The 22,168-nt window shown below is 44.7% G+C and overlaps 1 protein-coding gene across 1 annotated transcript in view, besides 21 other annotated features; it reads left to right on the top strand.

Moving 5' to 3' along the window:
• Positions 1–2,269: a promoter, noted in NCBI's record as "-2253/+16 promoter". NCBI's record gives the evidence for it as "EXISTENCE:reporter gene assay evidence [ECO:0000049][PMID:15722458]".
• Positions 457–479: a protein binding site, noted in NCBI's record as "A1 ERE". NCBI's record gives the evidence for it as "EXISTENCE:protein binding evidence [ECO:0000024][PMID:22484313]".
• Positions 457–479: a protein binding site, noted in NCBI's record as "A1". NCBI's record gives the evidence for it as "EXISTENCE:protein binding evidence [ECO:0000024][PMID:22484313]".
• Positions 457–481: a protein binding site, noted in NCBI's record as "ARE". NCBI's record gives the evidence for it as "EXISTENCE:protein binding evidence [ECO:0000024][PMID:19833192]".
• Positions 492–511: a protein binding site, noted in NCBI's record as "NR2". NCBI's record gives its function as "positive regulation of promoter activity" and the evidence as "EXISTENCE:protein binding evidence [ECO:0000024][PMID:10037683, PMID:11502872]".
• Positions 492–511: a protein binding site, noted in NCBI's record as "NR2". NCBI's record gives the evidence for it as "EXISTENCE:protein binding evidence [ECO:0000024][PMID:11502872]".
• Positions 494–541: an enhancer, noted in NCBI's record as "PBREM". NCBI's record gives the evidence for it as "EXISTENCE:reporter gene assay evidence [ECO:0000049][PMID:10037683]".
• Positions 524–543: an enhancer, noted in NCBI's record as "NR1". NCBI's record gives the evidence for it as "EXISTENCE:reporter gene assay evidence [ECO:0000049][PMID:10037683]".
• Positions 524–543: a protein binding site, noted in NCBI's record as "NR1, also known as DR4". NCBI's record gives the evidence for it as "EXISTENCE:protein binding evidence [ECO:0000024][PMID:11502872]".
• Positions 524–543: a protein binding site, noted in NCBI's record as "NR1, also known as DR4". NCBI's record gives the evidence for it as "EXISTENCE:protein binding evidence [ECO:0000024][PMID:11502872]".
• Positions 524–543: a protein binding site, noted in NCBI's record as "NR1". NCBI's record gives the evidence for it as "EXISTENCE:protein binding evidence [ECO:0000024][PMID:11991950]".
• Positions 570–2,235: a promoter, noted in NCBI's record as "1.6 kb promoter". NCBI's record gives the evidence for it as "EXISTENCE:reporter gene assay evidence [ECO:0000049][PMID:12571232]".
• Positions 585–597: a transcriptional cis regulatory region, noted in NCBI's record as "A2 ERE". NCBI's record gives its function as "may mediate induction by estrogen" and the evidence as "EXISTENCE:site-directed mutagenesis evidence [ECO:0005528][PMID:20079471]".
• Positions 700–716: a protein binding site, noted in NCBI's record as "CA3". NCBI's record gives the evidence for it as "EXISTENCE:protein binding evidence [ECO:0000024][PMID:19467232]".
• Positions 750–759: a protein binding site, noted in NCBI's record as "CA2". NCBI's record gives the evidence for it as "EXISTENCE:protein binding evidence [ECO:0000024][PMID:19467232]".
• Positions 1,972–1,995: a transcriptional cis regulatory region, noted in NCBI's record as "OARE". NCBI's record gives its function as "mediates induction by okadaic acid" and the evidence as "EXISTENCE:site-directed mutagenesis evidence [ECO:0005528][PMID:15563456]".
• Positions 1,975–1,986: a protein binding site, noted in NCBI's record as "CA1; CACCC probe". NCBI's record gives its function as "positive regulation of promoter activity" and the evidence as "EXISTENCE:protein binding evidence [ECO:0000024][PMID:18303024]".
• Positions 1,999–2,011: a protein binding site, noted in NCBI's record as "DR1". NCBI's record gives the evidence for it as "EXISTENCE:protein binding evidence [ECO:0000024][PMID:18303024]".
• Positions 2,160–2,184: a protein binding site, noted in NCBI's record as "-94 to -70 TATA box". NCBI's record gives the evidence for it as "EXISTENCE:protein binding evidence [ECO:0000024][PMID:15722458]".
• Positions 2,160–2,184: a protein binding site, noted in NCBI's record as "-94 to -70; Cebp binding site found on minor C allele of rs34223104". NCBI's record gives the evidence for it as "EXISTENCE:protein binding evidence [ECO:0000024][PMID:15722458]".
• Positions 2,172–2,176: a TATA box. NCBI's record gives the evidence for it as "COORDINATES:motif similarity evidence [ECO:0000028][PMID:15722458]".
• Positions 2,230–22,168, top strand: part of CYP2B6 (cytochrome P450 family 2 subfamily B member 6) — a 27,117-nt gene continuing 7,178 nt past the window's right edge. The window contains exons 1-6 of the mRNA NM_000767.5: positions 2,230–2,424; positions 14,949–15,111; positions 15,245–15,394; positions 17,853–18,013; positions 20,167–20,343; positions 20,942–21,083. Of these exons, the coding sequence (NP_000758.1) occupies positions 2,254–2,424; positions 14,949–15,111; positions 15,245–15,394; positions 17,853–18,013; positions 20,167–20,343; positions 20,942–21,083 (964 nt within the window). The 5' untranslated portion in view covers positions 2,230–2,253. The remainder of the gene's footprint in view (positions 2,425–14,948; positions 15,112–15,244; positions 15,395–17,852; positions 18,014–20,166; positions 20,344–20,941; positions 21,084–22,168) is intronic.

Here is a 22,168-nt window from a genome sequence, read left to right on the forward strand (position 1 = left end):
TATGAATGAGAACATGTGATATTCACTTTCTGTGCCTGGCTTGTTTCACTTAAGATAATCCCCTCCAGTTGTATCCATGTTGCTATAAAAGACATTATTTTATTCCTTTTTATGGCTAAATAGTATTCAATGGTGTATATATACCACATTTTATTTAACCATTCATCTGTTGATTCCCTATTTTTGCTATTGTAAATAGCATTTGGACCACATTTCAAGTACTTAATTAGTGGCCACATGCAGCAAGTGACTATCACATTGGACAATGTAGCCCCAACCCACTGTATGACCTTGGGTAAGACTTGCAAACTGTCATTGCTTCAATATCTCCATCTATAAAATGGGGATGGCAACAATACCTCACTAAGAGTGTAAAGACTGAGTTACTGTGTGTAAAGCACTTCACGCCTCCCCATCGGTGCTTCACCCTGGGGCTGCAATGAGCACCCAATCTTAGTGTCAGATGACACAGCACAGCAAGACCGAGGCCCTTGGTTCAGGAAAGTCCATGCTGCCACCTCTTCAGGGTCAGGAAAGTACAGTTTCCACCTCTTACAAATAGGACTGTTTGTCTGCTCCTCCTGGGTCAAAGTAACTTCGGGTTCAGGTCCTGGATCCAGCAAAGGGTTTGCTTAACATTGCAAGAAAGATGTTGCCTCATGGTCAAAAGTCAGGCGTAGGATGAGACAGGCAGACACGCACACATTCACACCCACGTTTTGCAAAGATGGACTGACCCTGTCAGAGGATGTGTGGGTGAAGGTGCACAGTGAGGATAGAGACATATGGGAGTCCAGTAGACATCAATCAAACTGGACTCAGTTTGCACACACCTGGAGCTCAAGAGTCTCCAGGGGGAAAACAGAGACACAAAGTCAGACAGAGAGAGAGCCAGAGAAATTTCCTGCACCGTGAAGATAGTCAGAGGCAGGGAAGAAACTCCTTAGCACTAGTTAGAGTGATCAGAAACCAAGAGGACCTGATCGCTGTACCTGCCAGGTCTCAGTTTCTGTCTCCTTCCAACTGACCACCTCTTCCTCTGAGACTCACCAGTTCTGCATCTCTTGCTCCTCCTTCTGTTTCTCCGACCACTTCCACCTGTGGCTGTCACAGAAGGGCGGATGAAGGAGGGGACACTGGAGATAGACTCAGCATCTGCAGGCTTCCAAAGAGAGGGGCTAGGAGATCCACCAACACACCAGCACAAATACACCAGCACACACAGATACACACAATTGGTTCATGTATTGCTAGGTTACAGTTTGCTATGCTACAAAGGCAGTAGGCCAAATTTGATTGAATTGAATAATTCCTTATTTTCATCAGCTTCTCCTTTTTTTTTTTTTTTTTTTTTTTTTGAGATGGAGTATTGCTGTGTCACCCAGGCTGGAGTGCAGTGGTGTAATCTTGGCTCACTGCAGCCTCCACCTCCCAGGTTCAAGTGATTCTCTTGCCTCAGCCTCCCGAGTAGCTGGGATTAAAAGTACCCACCATCACGCCCGGTTAATTTTTGTGTTTTTAGTACAGATGGGGTTTTGCCATGTGGGCCAGGATGGTCTCGAACTCTTGACCTCAATTGATCTGCCCCCCTCAGCTTCCCAACGTGCTGGGATTACAGGTGTGAGCCACCGCACCCAGCCAGCCTCTCAGTTTTGAACATGCACTACCACCACCTCCACAACACACAAATGTAAATGCACTTTCGTATATAAAACTGTATAAATACAAGGAAGCTCATACACATGCAAGGATACACACATAAGCACCCCCAGATTCAACCACAGAAATATACGCCAGTACATTTGCATAAATTCAAACACCCCTTTACATGTAAAAATCATATAAGCACATACAGGGATGCAAGCAGGCATGGACAAATGCATGCAAGCACAGACAAACAGACAAAGCTAAGTAAAAAAGTGCAAGCTCACCTATGCTTACAAAAATAGACATACATATACCCACAAACCCACACACCCACACATTCACTTGCTCACCTGGACTTTGATATCTCTACCACTGTATCCCTGCCAATATCTACAGAGTGGGTAAAGGGATAGGCATCAGGTCACTGGGTTGCCCAAGCAGGAAGTCTGGGTTCCCTAACAACTTTTTCTAAGCTAATGCTCCTGGATGATGATGAAAAAGGAGGTGGGGAATGGATGAAATTTTATAACAGGGTGCAGAGGCAGGGTCAGGATAAAAGGCCCAGTTGGAGGCTGCAGCAGGGTGCAGGGCAGTCAGACCAGGACCATGGAACTCAGCGTCCTCCTCTTCCTTGCACTCCTCACAGGACTCTTGCTACTCCTGGTTCAGCGCCACCCTAACACCCATGACCGCCTCCCACCAGGGCCCCGCCCTCTGCCCCTTTTGGGAAACCTTCTGCAGATGGATAGAAGAGGCCTACTCAAATCCTTTCTGAGGGTAAGACACAGACGAATGGGGTCTGAGGGTGAGCTGCTTCTTGCCTTGGTACTTGGGGAAGCTTCACCAAACAGAATGAGGCAGACTTCCAGAGTCAGGGGTGGCACGGGCATGGTTGGTGAGTACGGAGCATGGTGAAGCATGATGGGTGGTATTATTAGGAGAAAAGCATCAAATTAAATTTAGCAGAGTTTATTTGAGCAAAGAAGTGACTCATGAGTTGGACAGCTCCCTAAACCAGGAAAGACACCACACGGCAGTATGGTCAAGTGGTATTTACAGGCAGAAAAAGGAGGTGACATACAGAAACAGCCTGATTGGCCACAGATCACAGCTTGCCTTACTTGGTCACAATCTGAGCAGTTTGCAGCCTGTGTGGACTGAAAGCCCAGCTGCTCTGATTAGCCAACACTTGGCTACTTGTCACAAGAATATATTCATTTGGGCCAGGTGCAGTGGCTCATGCCTGTAATCCCAGTGCTTTTGGAGGCCGAGGTGGTGGATCACCTGAGGTCAGGAGTTCGAGACCAGCCTGGCCAACATGGTGAAACCTTGTCTCTACTAAAAATACAAATATTAGCTGGGCATAGTGATGCGTGCCTGTAATCTCAGCTACCCAGGAGGCTGAGGAAGGAGAATCACTTGAATCCAGGAGGCAGAGGTTGCAGTGAGCCAAAATCTTACCACTGCACTCCATCCTGGGTGACAGAGTGAGACTCCTTCTCAAAAAAAAAAAAAAAAAAAAGAATATACTCCCAAGTTAGGTTGCAGTTCACTCTACAGAGAGAGCTTTAGGTCAAATTTAATTTAATTAAACAATTCTCCCCTTTTGGTCAGCCTCAAAATTTTGAGATTGACCAAAACCTTGGGCATCAACATTACTTCTGTCACCATCATAATGGACTTGTCTGCTCTCAGTATGGAATTCACAATGGACAATGTCAACGTAGTTGAGTGATTCTTTACCTTTTCTTCATGTTTTTGTTGTTCCCACTGTAATGAGCCCACTGGATGTACAAAGAATGGCTGCATATGAGCATTTAAGACTCTTTTTTTTTCTGAGACAGGGCCTCACTCTGTCAGCCAGGCTGAAGTGCTGTGGCATGATCACGTCTCACTGCAGCCTTGACCTCCCAAGGCTCAAGTGATCCTCCTGCCTCAGCCCCCCAAGTAGCTGGAACTACAGGTGCATGCCACCACGCCCAGCTAATTTTTGTATTTTTTGTAGAGACAGGGTTTTGCCATGTTGCCCAGACTGGTCTTAAACTCCTGGGCTCAAGCAATCCACCTGCCTCGGCCTCCCAAAGTGCTAGGATTACATGTGTGAGCCACCGCACCCGGCCAAGACTCTTGAGAAAATACAACACATCAGGGAGACTGTTATGATGGCTCTCAGGAGGGTAATACGAAGAAAATGAAGTCACTGGGCCTGTAATAAACTTTGAGGAATGTGGACTTGGGGGTATAGATAAGGTCCACTGTCCACAGAGAGAAGAAAGGCTGTTAATAGTCTCTTTTAACTTGAGTGTGTCCATGAACCAAACTGATCAAAATCGAATAATTCGAAGTTCAGACAATAAAGATAGTTCAATAGTATTAGAGTCCAATTGGTCATAGATTTTGTTCAGGGCATGATGGTAATTAAGGACCAGAGCTTGCTATAAAATAACTTGATTTATAGAGACATTCATTTGTAGTTGGCCTGGTAACATATAGTATCCTGGAGACCCACTAGAAGAAACATTAAGAGTAGAAAAGTTTGGGATAGCCAGGCTTGCTGTGTTAGTCCATTCTCACACTGTTATAAAGACATACCTGAGACTGGGTAATTTATAAACAAAAGGGATGTAACTGACTCACAGTTCCACATGGCTGGGGAGGCCCCAGGAAAATACAATTCATGGCAAAAGGTGAATGAGAAGCAGGAAACTTACAATCATGATGGAAGGTGAAGGAGAAGCAAGTACCTTCTTCACAAGGTGGCAGGAAAAAGAGAGAGAGCCAAGGGGGAAGAGCCTCTTATAAAACCATCAGATCTTGTGAGAACTCACTCACTATCACAAGAACAGCATGGGGGAAACCGCCCCCAGGATCCAGTTACCTCCTACTAGGTCCTTCCCTCCACACCTGGGGATTACAATTCAAGATGAGATTTGGGTGAGGACACAGAGCCAAACCATATCACTTACCATCACCATTCAGGATGCTTGCAAACCAACTGCTAGCTGCACCTGTAAACACATATCTGTTTCTTTCCCCTGAGAAATGTCCTTAGTGTATTTGTGGCAGTGTCTAGAGAAACAGCAGTGTCAGCCGCATTTTAAATTAAGTTATCTGCACTAGTGAATTCACTGGAAAGATAAGAGCAATATTTGGTTTTCTTCAGCACCATACACAAGCCTCCAAGATGGGCATAGAGGAGATCTAAAATTGCGTGATGTTCCATTAAGCGTTTTTGTTGCCACAAATGTTCTCATCTCAGTTTGGAGAGTGGCTTCTACCCATCTGAACTCCTTGGAGGTTCAATTAGCTGCAAAATTCAAGATGTCCCTTAATGTATAACTTAGCCTCAGATTCCATACAACTGTCACCCAAATACCACCAAGAATGAGCACCCAGGAACCCAACTGGAACCTTTTCTGAACAGAAACCAACTTATCTTCGTCGATTTTGAGGTTGATAGTAATTTCAGTTATTGACTGTTTTGGCTTTTAACTATGGGAGGTATTAGGAAACTCTCAGGGAAACAATTTGGAAAGCAGCAGTGAGCTAGGCCAAATAGCAAGTTCTGGACCTGTGAGGAGAAAGAACAGAGTAAGCAAACCTCAAGATACTCAAGGTAGGCACTCGTGGTGTTGGAAAAGAGGGTCACCTACTGGCATTAGAGCAGAGATCAGTTAGATTTGTTTACCCATAAGTCTGCATAGCTCCTGAACAAGGTGGGAAACTTACTTTTTTGTGGTCTTTTTCTAGCATGCTGCGAAGGTGCATAACCACATTTAGTTGGAAAGAGACTTTACTGTATTTACTTATTTATTTGTTTTTAATAGAGTTGGGGTCGTGCTATGTTGAACTCTTGGCCTCAAGCAATCCTCCCATCTCAATCTCCCAAAGTGCTGGGATTACAAGCATGAGCCACCATGCCTGGCCACTTTACATATTTAATCCAGTAACATTACACACGCAATTGCCCACACCCCCATAGGTAGTCCCCAGGTCTTGCATACGGGATGCCTGGAAGCAAAATATGCCTTTTGCAGCCATTATTCAGATACATTTCCTATATTTAGTAGTGATTATGTTATTAGCTAGTTAATAGTATGTTATTACGTACTGTTATTATATTAACTAACTAATAACATAATCACTACTAAATATTTCCAGTGAGTGCAAAAAAGCAAGTGGCAATGATGTCTAGAATATCAAGATATAGCTTTCCACTCCTCCTTTGGGGTTTCTGGGTGATTCTCATTGGGAACATGAAGAGGCATTGGCACCAGTGAAATTATTTCCTGATTTTGGGGCGTTGGTTCAGAAACTCAACAACTCCTTGTTTTTTTTGTTTGTTTGCTTGTTTTGCTAGAGTATAAGCCTTTGCTAAAGCCATTCACAGATTATAGTCCTATGGATTTTCTTGTAAGGAAAGGGAAAGGGTTAGGACAGCAAGAAATGGGGAAGAAAGGATAAAAGATAATGCTTTCATGATGGAAGAGAAATCTTGATCCACAATCTTGGAAAAGCTGTCCGCATATAAGATGCCAACTGCTTCTGGGGAAAAACTTCCCTGGTCAGCTTTGCCTTAAGGTCTCCAACAGACATACAGTTCTAGGAGTCTAGAAGGGTCCTTTCCAATGGAGAGATGTGGATCCAAGATCCGAGACCCTGACATTTTGCTACAGAGAAGAACTTGGCATTGTCCTTCCCAATGGAGTACAAGGAACAGTCTTAGAAGAACTTGGTACGGTCTCTTCCAATGGAGTTCAAGGACAGTTTGTCTGGTGTCATTTCCAAAGGGCCCAACCTCTAAATTCTAGATCATGAAAGGTCTGGTTGTCATCAACCGATGTGTCATCAATGACTCATTTTACCTGGTGAAAACATGCTTTGGCATAAAGTATTATAGCCTTGCATTATTGAGTCATATCAGAGTTTATAAGAGTGGGAGATACATGAGATTCTATTATTAGGGGCATAGGCCCTCTATTACTATTTTACAAGAGATCTATCTATGTCTTTCCAGTAGGAGTGGATCTGATTGCCATCAATCAATAATACCTGAGACCAAGGGACTCCAATCAATTCAGCATGCTTTGCCTAATGATATTTGTTTGTAATACTGTTGCGGGACAATCAAAGACTGGAGAGACCAAAAAAGGTTCAGGAGAGTTTATTAAATTAAGGTGATCACCGGTTCAGCCAGACATACATCCAGAAAGTCTGAGCCCCGAACAAAGGCTTTTCCTACTTTTAAACATATTAAGGTGGGAACTACATGAGGCAGGAAGCCAGTTTCAGAAGTGAGAAACAAAGCAGTTAAATAACATTTCTTACATCTTGAGAAAGACATGTCTTGCAACCTAACCTTATCGGTCCGGTGACCCTGCAGCTGTGCAGGAACTCACTGGGCCTGTAATAAACTTTGAGGGATGTGGAGTTGGGGAGTATAGGTAAGGTCCACTGTCCACAGAGAGAAGACAGGCTGTTAATATTCTCTTTTAACTTGAATGTAAGGTGTGGTCATACTTTGCAGCAACCTTAAGAGGATTTTAAAATTTATATTACTACTACTATTAGGTTATAGTTGATTTCATTAATTCCTTCTTCAATACCTTATTTAACTGTTTTACCACTTGTCTAGTGAAACAAGTACCTCTGTCACTGGAGAGTTCTCCAGGAATGCCCAGTAAGGAAATACATTTTCTAATAACCTTTTATCTACGGTTATGGCATTGATTGATCTTTGTGCATAGAAATGCTTTAATACAACCAGAAAACATGCAATGAAGCTGGCAGTTGAATTAACTCCAGCTTCAAGTGTTCAAATGATCTACCAAGTGCCAGAAATATATCACCTGAGGTTTTTGTTGTCTTACTAGAATTATGGATTTGATAAACCAAATATTAGTTATAAACCATTTAGTAATCTTAGAATAGTCACCTCATCAATATTTTTTCACTGTTTGGATCATTTTCTCTCTTCTATGATGAGTCATGGAATACGGAGCTTTTAGTAATGGAAATTTTAAGAACTCAGGAAGGACCAGGCGGCCATCTAGGGTCTCCATGAGTGCATGCTTCACATTGGAATTACAGACTCTAAAGTACAAATTTTAATACAATGAGTTGCAATTTATGCTTCTCTAATTCAGGTACATAACACTGGTTTATTAAATAGGTTATCATAGGTAATTTGATGGTGCCATTGCACTCCAGCCTGGGTAACAGATTGAGACCCTGTCTCTGAATTGGAACTGCACGGGGGCACTGTCCTTGGAGGGGTGAATGGGCATGAAGAGGTGTCTGGGTATGAGCCACAGGTATAGAATTTCACTCTTCTCTGCCATCCTCTGTTACATCCTGGGTACCTGCCTGCCACTGAAAGAATGAGGTAAAAGAGGTGGTGGCACGAATCAAATAGATCTTGCTGTGCCAATGAGAGAGAGCAGACTAGCCCATGTCAGTGCCAGGAGAGTGGAGGAGAGAGGGAGAGCAGGAGAGGAGTGTGGGTAGGGAGTGCTCATCAACAGTACACATAGTGCCCTATACCGGTAACTGCCACTGGCTCAGTATTTACCTGGGTTATCACTGCTTACCATGCCTGATTTTATGATTAATTATCTACTTATCATTACTAATCCATCAACCCACTTTCCAATGGGAGAATTAGAACACTGACAATACCTTCCAGCTCCTCTTCCCCTTCCCCCTCCCATGTTGACCATACTCCTGAATCTTAGGCTCGTTATCCTTTTACTATTAATAGAGTTATTTTTTTAATTTCTGATCAATGGTCTTTTTAATGATACCAAGTACAGAGTATATATGCCAATACTACTATGAATTTTTAAATTATTTGCTCAGACAGAATACATGGACATACAAATGATGAATGTGATAATTGTCATACATATATATTTATCTTAGACACTTAGTCAAAACATGTGGTCTTTGGTTATCAGTTAGACACTGTCACTTTACCTGGAAGATACAAGGTAATTGGTCACAGACTCTCAAATTATGAAACATTTAGATTTTTCAGGGGAATGACATGGAGGGAGCCAAGGAGTCTTATGATTAGATAAGATGTTGTTTGGGTGGCTCACGACACCACTGGGCAACACTCAAAGAGGTGGTGGCTTATACCTGTAATCCCAACACTTTGGGAGGCTGAGGTGGGAGGATCGCTTGAAGCCAGGAGTTAGAAACCAGCCTGGGCAACCAAACAAGACCTGGCTCTACAAAAAAGTTTTAAAAATTTAGCCAGGCATGGTGGCATGTGCCTGTAGTCCCAGCTACTTGGGAGACTGAGGCAGGAGGATGACTTGAGCCTTGTAGTTTGAGGCTGCAGTGAGCTATGATCACGTCACTGCCCTCCAGCCTGGGCACAGAGCAAGACCCTGTCTCTTAAAAAAAAATCATCTGCAATGTGAGGAGTGATAACATTTAGGAACGTGTGTATAGGTTTAAATGCTGGTCAAAGACATCCTACACAATTCGCTGAACCTTCTCTCTAAGGGTTTTTTCCCAAGCTCTGCAGACGCTATCTGGGCACAAATCATGCCTCTGTTAACAGAATTTGCTGTTCCTTCTAGCTCTTGGTATCCCACTGCCCGCTTTCTTTATGAAAGCTGGTATGGTCATTGAATATCCCAATCCTTTACAAATTTGGAAACAAGCAAAACTGTCAATGAAATTTGTATTTGCCTAAAATGAGTTTTCTTTCTTTCTTTTTTATTATTATTATACTTTAAGTTTTAGGGTACATGTGCACATTGTGCAGGTTAGTTACATACGTATACATGTGCCATGCTGGTGCGCTGCACCCACTAACTCGTCATCTAGCATTAGGTATATCTCCCAATGCTATCCCTCCCCCCTCCCCCCACCCCACAACAGTCCCCAGAGTGTGATGTTTCCCTTCCTGTGTCCATGTGATCTCATTGTTCAATTCCCACCTATGAGTGAGAATATGTGGTGTTTGGTTTTTTTGTTCTTGCGATAGTTTACTGAGAATGATGATTTCCAATTTCATCCATGTCCCTACAAAGGACATGAACTCATCATTTTTTATGGCTGCATAGTATTCCATGGTGTATATGTGCCACATTTTCTTAATCCAGTCTATCATTGTTGGACATTTGGGTTGGTTCCAAGTCTTTGCTATTGTGAATAATGCCGCAATAAACATACATGTGCATGTGTCTTTATAGCAGCATGATTTATAGTCCTTTGGGTATATACCCAGTAATGGGATGGCTGGGTCAAATGGTATTTCTAGTTCTAGATCCCTGAGGAATCGCCACACTGACTTCCACAATGGTTGAACTAGTTTACAGTCCCACCAACAGTGTAAAAGTGTTCCTATTTCTCCACATCTTCTCCAGCACCTGTTGTTTCCTGACTTTTTAATGATTGCCATTCTAACTGGTGTGAGATGGTATCTCATTGTGGTTTTGATTTGCATTTCTCTGATGGCCATTGATGTTGAGCATTTTTTCATGTGTTTTTTGGCTGCATAAATGTCTTCTTTTGAAAAGTGTCTGTTCATGTCTTTCGCCCACTTTTTGATGGGGTTGTTTTTTTCTTGTAAATTTGTTTGAGTTCATTGTAGATTCTGGATATTAGCCCTTTGTCAGATGAGTAGGTTGCGAAAATTTTCTCCCATTTTGTAGGTTGCCTGTTCACTCTGATGGTAGTTTCTTTTGCTGTGCAGAAGCTCTTTAGTTTAATTAGATCCCATTTGTCAATTTTGTCTTTTGTTGCCATTGGTTTTGGTTTTTTAGACATGAAGTCCTTGCCCATGCCTATGTCCTGAATGGTAATGCCTAGGTTTTCTTCTAGGGTTTTTATGGTTTTAGGTCTAACGTTTAAGTCTTTAATCCATCTTGAATTGATTTTGTATACTAAAATGAGTTTTCAAAAGGATCTTTGTGGCTACCTTATTAGTTCATAGAAAGTGGAGGCTTGTCTGGAATGATATTAAAGAATTTTTTTCATTTTAATTGTTTTAGAGACAGGGTCTCAGTCTGTTACCCAGGCTGGAGTACAATGGCACAGTCATAGCTCACTGCAGCCTTGAACTCCTGTGCTCAGGAGATTCTCCCACCTTAGCCTCCAGAGTAGCTGGGACTAAAAGTGTGAGCCACCATGCCCCACTATTTATTTTTGTAGAGATGTGTTTGGGGGACGGTCTCACTATGTTGCCTAGGCTGGTCTCGAACTCCTGGACTCAAGCAATCCTCCTGCCTCAACCTCCCAAAGCATTGGGATAAGTTTTGCATAGACATGTTTGACCCTCTCCCTTCCTTTATTGCAGCAAAGATTTCCATTTTCTCACAGGGAGGACTTGGGGCAAATTGTTTTTGTCGTTGTTATTGTTATTTGAGGATGTGGGTGGGTCATCTTGGTTAATGTCAGTGCAAGAACGGTGTCTGCTCCTCATTATTGGGGTTCCTTAGCTATTCAGGCAGGCAGCAGCTCCCTTGAGAAGACTTCCTGACCCCCAGGTCCCCATCATATGCTCTCATACACCAGCTGCCCCTCCTTACTGAGCCTATGTCCTTGATAGTGCTGCATTTACCTGTGATCCTGTGGCTGAGCTCTCCCTCACACTTCCAGACAAGGAAGGCCTGTGAGGTATCAGCACAGTGCTGAACATAGTACCTGGTACACAATAGGCATTTAGTAAATATGTGAACAGGAACAAATGAAGGAGTCAGTGAGTGAAAGCTCCAAGCCTGACTCAGCGGAACTGGCAGTCGGCCAGGGCCTACAAAGTGCTGCCTGGCCCTCAGTAGGGGGTGGCAGATCTGGGGATCCCTCTTCACCAAATAGAGTTGCATCATACAGGTAAAGGTCCCAAGTGCCTATTGTTTTCTTTTCATCATTTTCCATGTGTGACAAGAGTATCACGCAATCATGTGAATCAATGGACTTAGTTTTCTCACTAGACTAATGTGTCTAGGAATTATCTGTGTTGTCATGGGGATTTTCCAGGTGTCATTTACAACTACCTGTGGACAAGATGAGGTGCTACCCTCATCTTAGAATTAGGGATGGTGGCTGGGCATGGCAGCCCATGCCTATAATCTCAGCACTTTGGGAGGCTGAAGCAGGTGGATCAACTGAGGTCGGGAGTTCGAGACCAACCTGACCAACATGGAGAAACCCTGTCTGTACTAAAAAACACAAAACTAGCTGGGCATGGTGGCACATGTCTGTAATCCCAGCTACTCGGGAGGCTGAGGCAGGAGAATTGCTTGAACCCAGGAGGCGGAGTTTGCCCTGAGCTGAGATTGCATCATTGCACTCCATCATGGGCAACAAAAGTGAAACTCCATCTCAAAAAAAACCCAAACAGAAACAAACAAACAAACAAAATTAGTGATAGTGATGCTCAGCCTGGGGAAAGCATTTGTCCAGTGGCACACAACTGGGAAAAGGGGAAGCTGAGATCCAGCAGGAGGTCTGTCTCCAAAGCCCTCCTAGACTAAAGCTGCTTAACAATTTGTGGATTATGAAATTCTCATAGAGTTTGATTAAAGCTGTGGCCCCCTCTTTTCCAAATAGGCACATACATGTTTGCATAAAGTTGTGAGGCTTCACACACTCCCTAAAACTCTTTCATAAACCTTCCAAGGATCCTCTAGGTATTCACGACCATCTATTATGATTGCATCTCTTGGGGGTGGGGTAAAGAGGGAGGGCATGAGCAAGTGTGCATCAGGGCTGAGGAAGGTGGCGCTGTTGCTTCTCCATTTCCCAATAAGCTTCCAGATTCTTTTTGATGTCAGAGGGATGTGGGCTCGTGTCTCAGATTCAACCCGTATGCATTGAGTCACAGTTTTCTCTTCCGTCAGTTAAGATCATGACAATGAGAATGTGTGCCCCTAAGGTGGTTGTGAGGATTAAATGGGATATTGCATACAGCTAGTATATAATAAGTGCTCATTAAATGGCAACTACCTTGATCCACTCATTCATTTATTCACGAATCCAATAACAATTCACTGGGCACTTTCTATGTACCAGGAAATAGTCTAGGAATTGATGATGTGGCATCTTGGACAAGACATACGAGGTCACTGCGCTTATGGACATTCCATTGGCAGAGACAGATAAGCAAAAAATAAACAGATAAGGAAATGTTAGGTGGAGAAGAGCTACAATTAAACTAAAGCAGGGGGATATTTCAGACAGTGATGAGAACTACGTTAGATTGAGTGGTTAGGGGAAGACTGTCTTGTTTTTTTTTCTGAGCAGAGACAATGAAAGATTCAGGTGGAAGGCACTAGAAGGAGGCAGGGGTGGCTACAAGAATCCTGAAACAGGAAAAATGTCAGAGAACAACATGGAGGAATGAGTGGGAGGAGAAGTCAGAGCGGTAATAGGGCCACGTCATGTAGGACCATGTGAACCCTCAGTGGAGACTTCAGATCTTATTCTCAGCAAAGTGGGAATATTGTAGGCCTTGGTGAGCACGTGGATATTAATTATTTTACATTTTAGTGGGGTTACCCTGGCTTGTGGGGCAGTGAAACAATTGTTAAGTGGAGTAAGCATGTCATCCAGAAGTCCAGTGAAGGGGCTTTGCAGAGATCAATGCAGGGCATTTGTAAGTAAACTTAACAAATTTTATGACTTTTATGTCAAGTTTTTATTGAACTTGAACATCACTGTAAAAAGCGCACAGCTCAATGAATTTTCACAAACTGAACATACTCATGTAATTGACATGCAGGCCAAGTAGCAAGAATGCCCCGAAACCCTGCACCCTGTTCTTTTCTATTCACTATCCACCTACCATCTTGATCATGGGTTGATTTTATCTGTGTATGAACTTCTTTTTTGTTTTTGTTTGTTTGTTCCTGAGATTGAATTTTGCTCTGTCGCCCAGGCTGGAGTGCAGTGGCACTATCTCGCCTCACTGCAACCTCCGCCTCCCCGGGCTCAAGCAATTCTCTCGTCTCAGCCTCCCGAGTAGCTGGGACTACAGGTGAGAGCCACCATGCCTGGCTAATTTTTGTATTTTTAGTAGAGATGGGTTTTCACCATGTTGGTCAGGCTGGACTCAAACTCCTGACCTCGTGATCAGCCTGCCTCAGCCTCCCAAATTGCTGGGATTACAGATGTGAGTCACCACGCCTGGCCCTGTGTTTGAACTTCATACACATAAAATTATGATGCATTGACTCTTTTGTGCCTAGTTGCTTCCACTCAACATTATGCCTGTGAGTTTCAGCCACGTTGTCGCCTGTAGCTGTGGTTTGTTCTTTTTTGTTGCTGTATACTAGTCTATTGTGAGAACCCTCACTGATTGTCTATATCTATATTGATGAGCATTTTATTAAGAAAGCTTCTGTGAATATTTTGTTCATTTTTTGGTGAACACACATACACATTTTTGCTGGGCATGTACCTGGGAGTGAAGTGGCTGGTTTCCTGGGTATCCATTTGTTCAGCTTCAGGAAATACTGCCCAGCAGTTCCCCAAGTGGCTGCACAGTAATCCCACCTTATCCACTGGAGATATCTTCTGAGACCCCCAGTGGATGCCTGAAACCCCACATAATACTGAGCACTATGCATACTCTTTTTTTTTCCTATACAATCACATTATATAGGGAGGGTGGTATACACAGTGCAGACATGGTGGACAAAGGATGATTCGTGTCCGGGGTGGGACAGAGTGGATGGTGAGAGATATCATCATCCTACTCAGAATGATGCACAACTTAAAACTTACGAATTCTTTATTTCTGGAATTTTCCATTTAATATTTTCAGACTGCGATTAGCTGCAGGTAACTGAAACTGCAAAAAGCAAAACCACAGATCATAAGAAGTATGCGGTGGGGGTGATATTCATCGTATTTTATCAACCATCTTTACTGTTTAGGGCACAAGCCAATCAGAGCAGACCCTGGCTGGGCCACCCATTAACCTAAGCTTGTCCAACCTGCCTTATTTTGTTGTTGTTCTGTTTTGTTTTGTTTTAGCTTTTTAGCAGCCTGAAGCCATGGTTTTCAGTTTCTGTCTCCAGTGATACACAGAAAGGAAGGATGAGGAAGGGGCTTTACTGGCCCAACCAGAAACGGAAACTAAGAACCCATGACTGTATTCTCTCCCTTGGACAGCGTTAACCATTAACCCTTAATTGCTGGGTCCCAGCAGGGGAAAGGGCAGCCTGGGGAGGCGGATGTTGGGGAGGGGCTAATTACCAATCTGGTATGTAAGTATTTTGATAGTTTTACAAATGAGGTGTATGCTGACTAACAGCCACCCCTGGTGTGGATGTGATTGGCAGTTCCGAGAGAAATATGGGGACGTCTTCACGGTACACCTGGGACCGAGGCCCGTGGTCATGCTGTGTGGAGTAGAGGCCATACGGGAGGCCCTTGTGGACAAGGCTGAGGCCTTCTCTGGCCGGGGAAAAATCGCCATGGTCGACCCATTCTTCCGGGGATATGGTGAGAGCCTCAGAGGCACTGGGAGGGGGCGGGTGGGGGGTGCATCAGGGAAGGGAGTATATGGGAGGAAGAAGGACTCAGAGCCTTCTTCCAACTTCTTCTACAACCAACCCACACCTCCCCTGCACCCCAGGTGTGATCTTTGCCAATGGAAACCGCTGGAAGGTGCTTCGGCGATTCTCTGTGACCACTATGAGGGACTTCGGGATGGGAAAGCGGAGTGTGGAGGAGCGGATTCAGGAGGAGGCTCAGTGTCTGATAGAGGAGCTTCGGAAATCCAAGGGTGAGTCCTGGGGGATGAATAGGAAAGAAAGACAATGAAACACTGAGAGATGCAGGTGCACGGGAATAGAAAGACAGAGAGGTATATAAGGGCACAGACAGAGACAGACGAAACTGGAGACACCATCAGACAGAGGGATAGAGACAGAGAGGGAGAGAGACAGGGGAATAGAGAGGGATGGGGATGGGCAGGAGAGAAACACAGAGAGCCAGGGAAAGAGAGAGATGCCAGGTGTATAATGTCCAAGAGTTACTCAAAGAGGCTGGATGTGATGACTCTCACCTGTAATCCCAGTACTTTGGGAAGCTCAGGCAGGAGGATTGCTTGAGGCCAAGAGTTGGAGAACAGCCTGGGCAACATAATGAGATCCTGTCTCTACACAATATAGAAAAGAAGTGAGCCACGCATGGTGGTGTGTGCCTGTAGTCCCAGCTACTCAGGAGGCTAAGGTGGGACTACAGGATCACTTGAGCCCAGGAGGTTGAGGTTGCAGTGAGCTGTGATTGTACCACTGCACTCCAGCCTGGACAACAGAGCAAGATCCTGTCTCAAACAAACAAACAAACCCTCAAAGACATATAATTTCATGGATCAATTGTGTCTGTCAAAGTCAAAAACGGAAGTTAAGTAAAAGAAAAAAACTACAGACATTTAACAAATAATGAACTGTGTTTTCCTTGCCCTGGGTGAAGTGCTGATGAGCTGGCAGTGAGCAGACAGGCCAGGTGGGGTGTTCTGCCCGGGTGCAGCTGGAGGGGTCATCAAAGAATCACTAGGTTATTTTTGAGTTCTCCATAACTTGGTGTCTGTGAGACATGTAGGTGAAGGGTCTCTGGCTAGCACCTCCATCTCATTCATGCCAGGTGTTTACCATCTCTCTTATCAAAATTTCTCAAGAGACTCTGGGATGTAAATGCAGAGGCTGCATGGGGAGGTAGAGACCCAGGAGCTATAGGGAAACGGGGACAAGAAGACTGAAGAGAAGGACAGGAAGAAACAGTGACACAGGCAGGAGGAAAGAGACAGATGGAGGGACCAAAACAAAAAAATATAGGTTGGGTATGGGGCTCATGCCTGTAATCCCAGCACTTTGGGAGGCTGAGGCTGGCGGATCATTTGAGGCCAGCAGTTCAAAACCAGCCTGGCCAACATGGTGAAACCCCATCTGTGCTAAAAATACAAAAATTAGCCAGGCTTGGTAGCACGTGCCTTTAATCCCAGCTACTCAGGAGGCTGAGACAGGAGAATTGATTGAGCCTGGGAAATGGAGGTTGCCGTGAGCTAAGATCACACTACTGCACTCCAGTCTGCATGATAGAGTGAGACTCTGTCTCCAAAAATAATAATAATAATAATAAAATAAAGAACGGCAGGGGGGAGACAAATATACACACAGAGAGACAGAAAGAAACAAAGGCAAAGAGAAATTGAGGCAGAGAAAATTAGAGAGACAGACAGACAAAGCTTAGGAAAAGGTCTGCAGAGGAATGAGAGAAGACAGGCAAGTGAGAACCAGAGAGAGGCTGCACTAACCTGATGTTCTTGGGTCCTTACAGACCACTCTCCCTCCAGCTGGGGCCAGTGCTGAGCCTGGTGTATACAGGTATCACTTAACAAGTACAGAATAATTCCCAGAAGACTGGAGAGCCCTAGATGTGGAAAGAAGAGATTAAGGGGGAGTAATAGGTAGGGGTGGAAAGATGGTTTTTTATTTGTTTTAAATTAGAGACGGGGTCTCACTCTGTACCCAGGCTGGAGTGCAGTGGCACGATCATAGCTCACTGCAGCCTCAAACTCCTGGGCCCATGTGATCCTCCCACTTCAGCCCCTGGACTATTTCAACTGGGACTACAGGCATGTGCCACCATGTCTAGCTACATTTTTTTTTTTTTTTTTTTGTAGAGACAGGGTCTCCTTATGTTGCCCAGGCTGGTCTTGAATTCCTGATCCTTTTGAATCAGGCTCCCGAAGTGCTGGGTTTAGAGGTATGGGCCCCTGTGCCCACCCAGGGCTTTTTAATTTATATAAGCAATTGATTGAACACCTACTCTGCCCAGCCCCTATCCCTGGGATTTAACTGTACTCACTCCCAGAGTCAGAGGTGGGGCCTGAGAGGAGGTGCAGAGTGAGAACCGGCTGCATGGACTCTATAGCTGTGTTGCCTGGGTCTAAATCCTGGCCTCAGTAATGAGTAGCTGTGCAACTTTGGTCAAATTACTCAGCCTCTCGGTCTGCCCATCTATAAACTGGAGCTAATAATCAAATTGCATCTGCCTCACATTGTTGTAGTGAGAGTTCAATGGAATTACGCGTGACGTGCTGGTACATAATTAGCTGTTACGGTTATTCTCATGTTTACCATTACTGAGTGATGGCAGACAATCACACAGAGATAGGTGACAGCCTGATGTTCCCCAGGCACTTCAGTCTGTGTCCTTGACCTGCTGCTTCTTCCTAGGGGCCCTCATGGACCCCACCTTCCTCTTCCAGTCCATTACCGCCAACATCATCTGCTCCATCGTCTTTGGAAAACGATTCCACTACCAAGATCAAGAGTTCCTGAAGATGCTGAACTTGTTCTACCAGACTTTTTCACTCATCAGCTCTGTATTCGGCCAGGTCAGGGAGACGGAGAGGGACAGGGGGTGTGGGGGTGAGGTGAACACCCAGAACACACGAGAAAAGGATGACCTGTCTTGGGGGCTCAGAAATGCAGCTTATCCTTGGAAGAAACGCAGACATGTGAAGAATCAGGGACATGGAGACCTGGAGGGAGGAGAGACGGTGAGACAGGGATAGAGACACTGAGAGAGAGAATGAGGCGTGATGGGGAGGCAGAAATAGAGTCAGAGAGAGACTGAGAGAAGGAAGATGAGCAAAAACAAGACAAAGAAGAGCAGAAATCAAGAGATTCTGAGAGACAGAGTTGATGAGAATGAGTGTGAAAGAGAGGGAGAGAGAGAGAACGAATAAGGCTTTGGGCTTCATGTCTATTCTGCTCCTGGATGTCATTTCTGTTTTATTTTTTTTAGACGGAGTCTCGCTGTTTCATTCCAGCTGGGGTGTAGTGTTGCCATCTTGGCTTACTGCAACCTCCACCTCCCGGGTTCAAGTGATTCTCCTGCCTCAGCCTCCCAAGTAGCTGGGACTGCAGGCATGTGCCACCACACCTGGCTAATTTTTTTTTTTTTCTTTTCGAGACAGAGCCTCGCTCTGTTGCCTAGGCTGGAGTGCAGTGGCACAATCTCAGCTCACTGCAACTTCCACCTCCCTGGTTCAAGCAATTCCCCTGCCTCAGCCTCCTGTAGCTGGGATTACAGGCGCCTGCCGCTATGCCAGGCTAATGTTTTTGTATTTTTAGTAGAGACGGGGTTTCGCCATGTTGGCCAGGCTGGTCTCTAACTCCTGACCTCAAGTGATCTGCCCGCCTCAGACTCCTAAAGTGCTGGAATTACAGGTGTGAGCCACCATGCCCAGACTGCTTCTGGTTCTTCTGTATCCTTGCTTCTCAGTCTTTGGTAAAGCTCTCCACCTAAAGAAAATGAAGGATAAATGACAATAAGGAACAGCATTTCTTCATTTTCTCCCATTTCTCCTTCTCCCTCTGTGTTTTTTTTTTTAACTTTCCCCAGATTGTAAAGGCAGTCTTCTGCTCTTTTAAAACAAAATACTAAAATGTCTCCTTATTTATTAACCTGGAAATATGCCTATTACATATTAAATTTAAGAATATCAAGCTGCAGAACAGTATGCATAGCTGTAGTTTGTTGTTGTTGTTGTTTTCAGACAGTATCTTGCTCTGTTACTCAGGCTGGAGTGCAGTAGTGTGATCTCAACTCCCTGCCACCTCCACCTCCCAGGTTCAAGCAATTCTCATGGCTCAGCCTCCCGAGCAGCCGGGACTATAGGCGAGCGCCACCACACCCAGCTAATTTTTTTGTATTTTTAGTAGAGATGGTGTTTCACCATGTCGGCCAGGCTGGTCAACATAGCTACAGCTATTAAGCAGGGATGTATGTTGGATTCACATGTGGGGTTGTCACAGTTATGGATTTTCAGGACCCTACTTTCTGGGCGGTCTGATCTGGAAAGTCTGGGATGGGGCCCAAGGTGAGTACTTGTAACAAGCCCGACCAGTAATTCTAATGTTCTCCTCCCACCGAGAACCACAGAGAAAAGTCTGGAAGGAGACCCACCAGACAGTTAACAATGGTTATCTCTAGAAGGAGAGATTAAGAAGGAAATTTACATCTGACTATATATGTTTGCATTTTTGCAATTATTTGCAATAAATTAGGCATTCCATTCTTCATCAAAGTAATAGAAATAACCTCCAAAATACGTAGTCCTAACATGTCAGCAGGCTTATCTTGTGTAAGAATCATTTTATTAATATCTGACACAGCAAGGGAGATGAGGAGAGGTGGGAAGAGGGAGAGAAAAGTATGAGAAAGACAAATAAACAGGCTGAGGTAGACAATGGGTGACACAGAAAGGAAGTGAGACAGAGACTAAGAGAGATAGAAAGGAGAGAGGCAGGGAGATGGGGCAGAGGCCAAGAAAAAGACAGAAGGATGAGGGAGGAAGATGCAGAAAGAGGTAAATGTGAGATAGATCAAAGGAGATATAGAGTCAGTGAGTGAGGGGTTCAGAGGCAGAGGGGAGTGGGGAAGTGGGGTTCCCATGGAGGGATTGGGGCCCAGGAGGCGCTCTCTCCCTGTGACCTGCTAGCTCAGCCCTAGGCAAACCTCACCACCCCTTCTTTCTTGCAGCTGTTTGAGCTCTTCTCTGGCTTCTTGAAATACTTTCCTGGGGCACACAGGCAAGTTTACAAAAACCTGCAGGAAATCAATGCTTACATTGGCCACAGTGTGGAGAAGCACCGTGAAACCCTGGACCCCAGCGCCCCCAAGGACCTCATCGACACCTACCTGCTCCACATGGAAAAAGTGGGGTCTGGGAGAGGAAAAAGGGAAGGGAGGGGAGGGAGGGCAAGATGGAGAGGTGAGAAGAGGGAGGGAAAAGGGGTAGGGAAGGGGAAGATGGGGAGGGAAGAAGAAAGACTAGGGAGGGGAGAATAGGGAAAGGGAGGAGAGAACATGAGGAAGGAAAGAAAGATGAGGTGAAAGGAGGGAGAAAATAGGGAGGAGGAACTGAGACAGGGAGAGAGGGGAGGTGGGAAGACAGAATGAAAGACAGAGGGAGAGAGAGAGAAGACTGGCTGAGGAAGGAATTCGGGGCAAGGGACAAAAATACAGCAACAAGAGAAAAAACTCACAGAGGCAGAAAGAGACGGGGACAAAAAGAGAGAAACACATCAAAGAGATGTGGAGAGAGATAGAAACAGAGTTAGGAAGACTAAAGAGAGGCTGAGAGAGATGAGTTAGAGATACGCGGTTGGATGTGTAGAGGACAGAGAAAAGCAAACTGGGCCAGATAGTGTCAAAGACCTTTAGGCCAACGGAGGGCAGCCAGGGAGATGGGCGTATACACAGCAAGGCTACAGCCTCCCCTGACCCTCCCCTTCCTTCCCTACTGTGGACGCAGGAGAAATCCAACGCACACAGTGAATTCAGCCACCAGAACCTCAACCTCAACACGCTCTCGCTCTTCTTTGCTGGCACTGAGACCACCAGCACCACTCTCCGCTACGGCTTCCTGCTCATGCTCAAATACCCTCATGTTGCAGGTGGGCCAGGGACAGCCAGTCAAGGGGGTCTTCTGACCTCCTTCTGAGCTGCAGAAATGGGGCTATGGGTACCACCTGGATGAGAGAGGGGATGCTGGCTTCCTATTCTGGGAGCACTGTAGGCTCTGGGCTAGATTCCAACCAAGCCAATTCTGTTGGTGGATGCATGGATGCATGAAGAATCTGTCCATGCGTTCTCCCACTGTTTTCTTCCATCACTTAAGGATTTTTTGTTCTAAGGTTTTTGTTTGTTTGTTTGTTTTTTGTTTTTTGGTTTTTTTTTTTTTGTCTTTTTTGAGACAGAGTCTCGCTCTGTCACCCAGGCTGGAGTGCAGTGGCATGCTCTTGGCTTACTGCAAGCTTCACTTCCAGGGTTCACGCCATTCTCCTGCCTCAGCTTCCCGAGTAGCTGGAACTACAGGCGCCTGCCACCACACCCGGCTAATTTTTTGTGTTTTTAGTAGAGATGGGGTTTAACCATGTTAGCCAGGATGGTCTCGATCTCCTGACCTCATGATGTACAAATTTAGGGGGTACATATGCAGTTTTGTTACATGCGTAGGTTTTGTAATGGTCAAGTTTGGGCTGTTAGGGTATTTATCACCCAAACAGTGTACATTGTACCCATTAAGTAATTTCTCATCATTCACCCCCCTTCTGCTCCCTCACTCTTCTGAGTCTTCACTGTGTATCATTCCTCTCTCTGTGTCCATGTGTACACATTTTGTAGCACTCACTCATGAGTGAGAACATGCAATATTTGACTTTCTGTGCCATCACTTAAAAATCGATCCATCCACTTATCATTTCATCTATTCATTCTTTAATTCATTAATTAAAGAATGTATAATTACTGATTCTTTCATTTATGATTCATCTAAGGACATATACTGTCATTCATTTATTTGGATTACTTGATCCACAAGTTGATCCTTTGAAACAGTGGTATGTTGATGGACTATTTGTCATTGATTCATTGGCTCATTCATTCATTCATTCATGCATTCATCCATCCTTCTACGAACTAGGTTTCACTCTTATCCTTCCATGAGTCAACCTTTCAATTCACCCTTAATCCATCCGTG

The sequence above is a fragment of the Homo sapiens genome, chromosome 19 (genome assembly GCF_000001405.40).
Source record: "Homo sapiens chromosome 19, GRCh38.p14 Primary Assembly".
Lineage (NCBI taxonomy): Eukaryota > Metazoa > Chordata > Mammalia > Primates > Hominidae > Homo > Homo sapiens.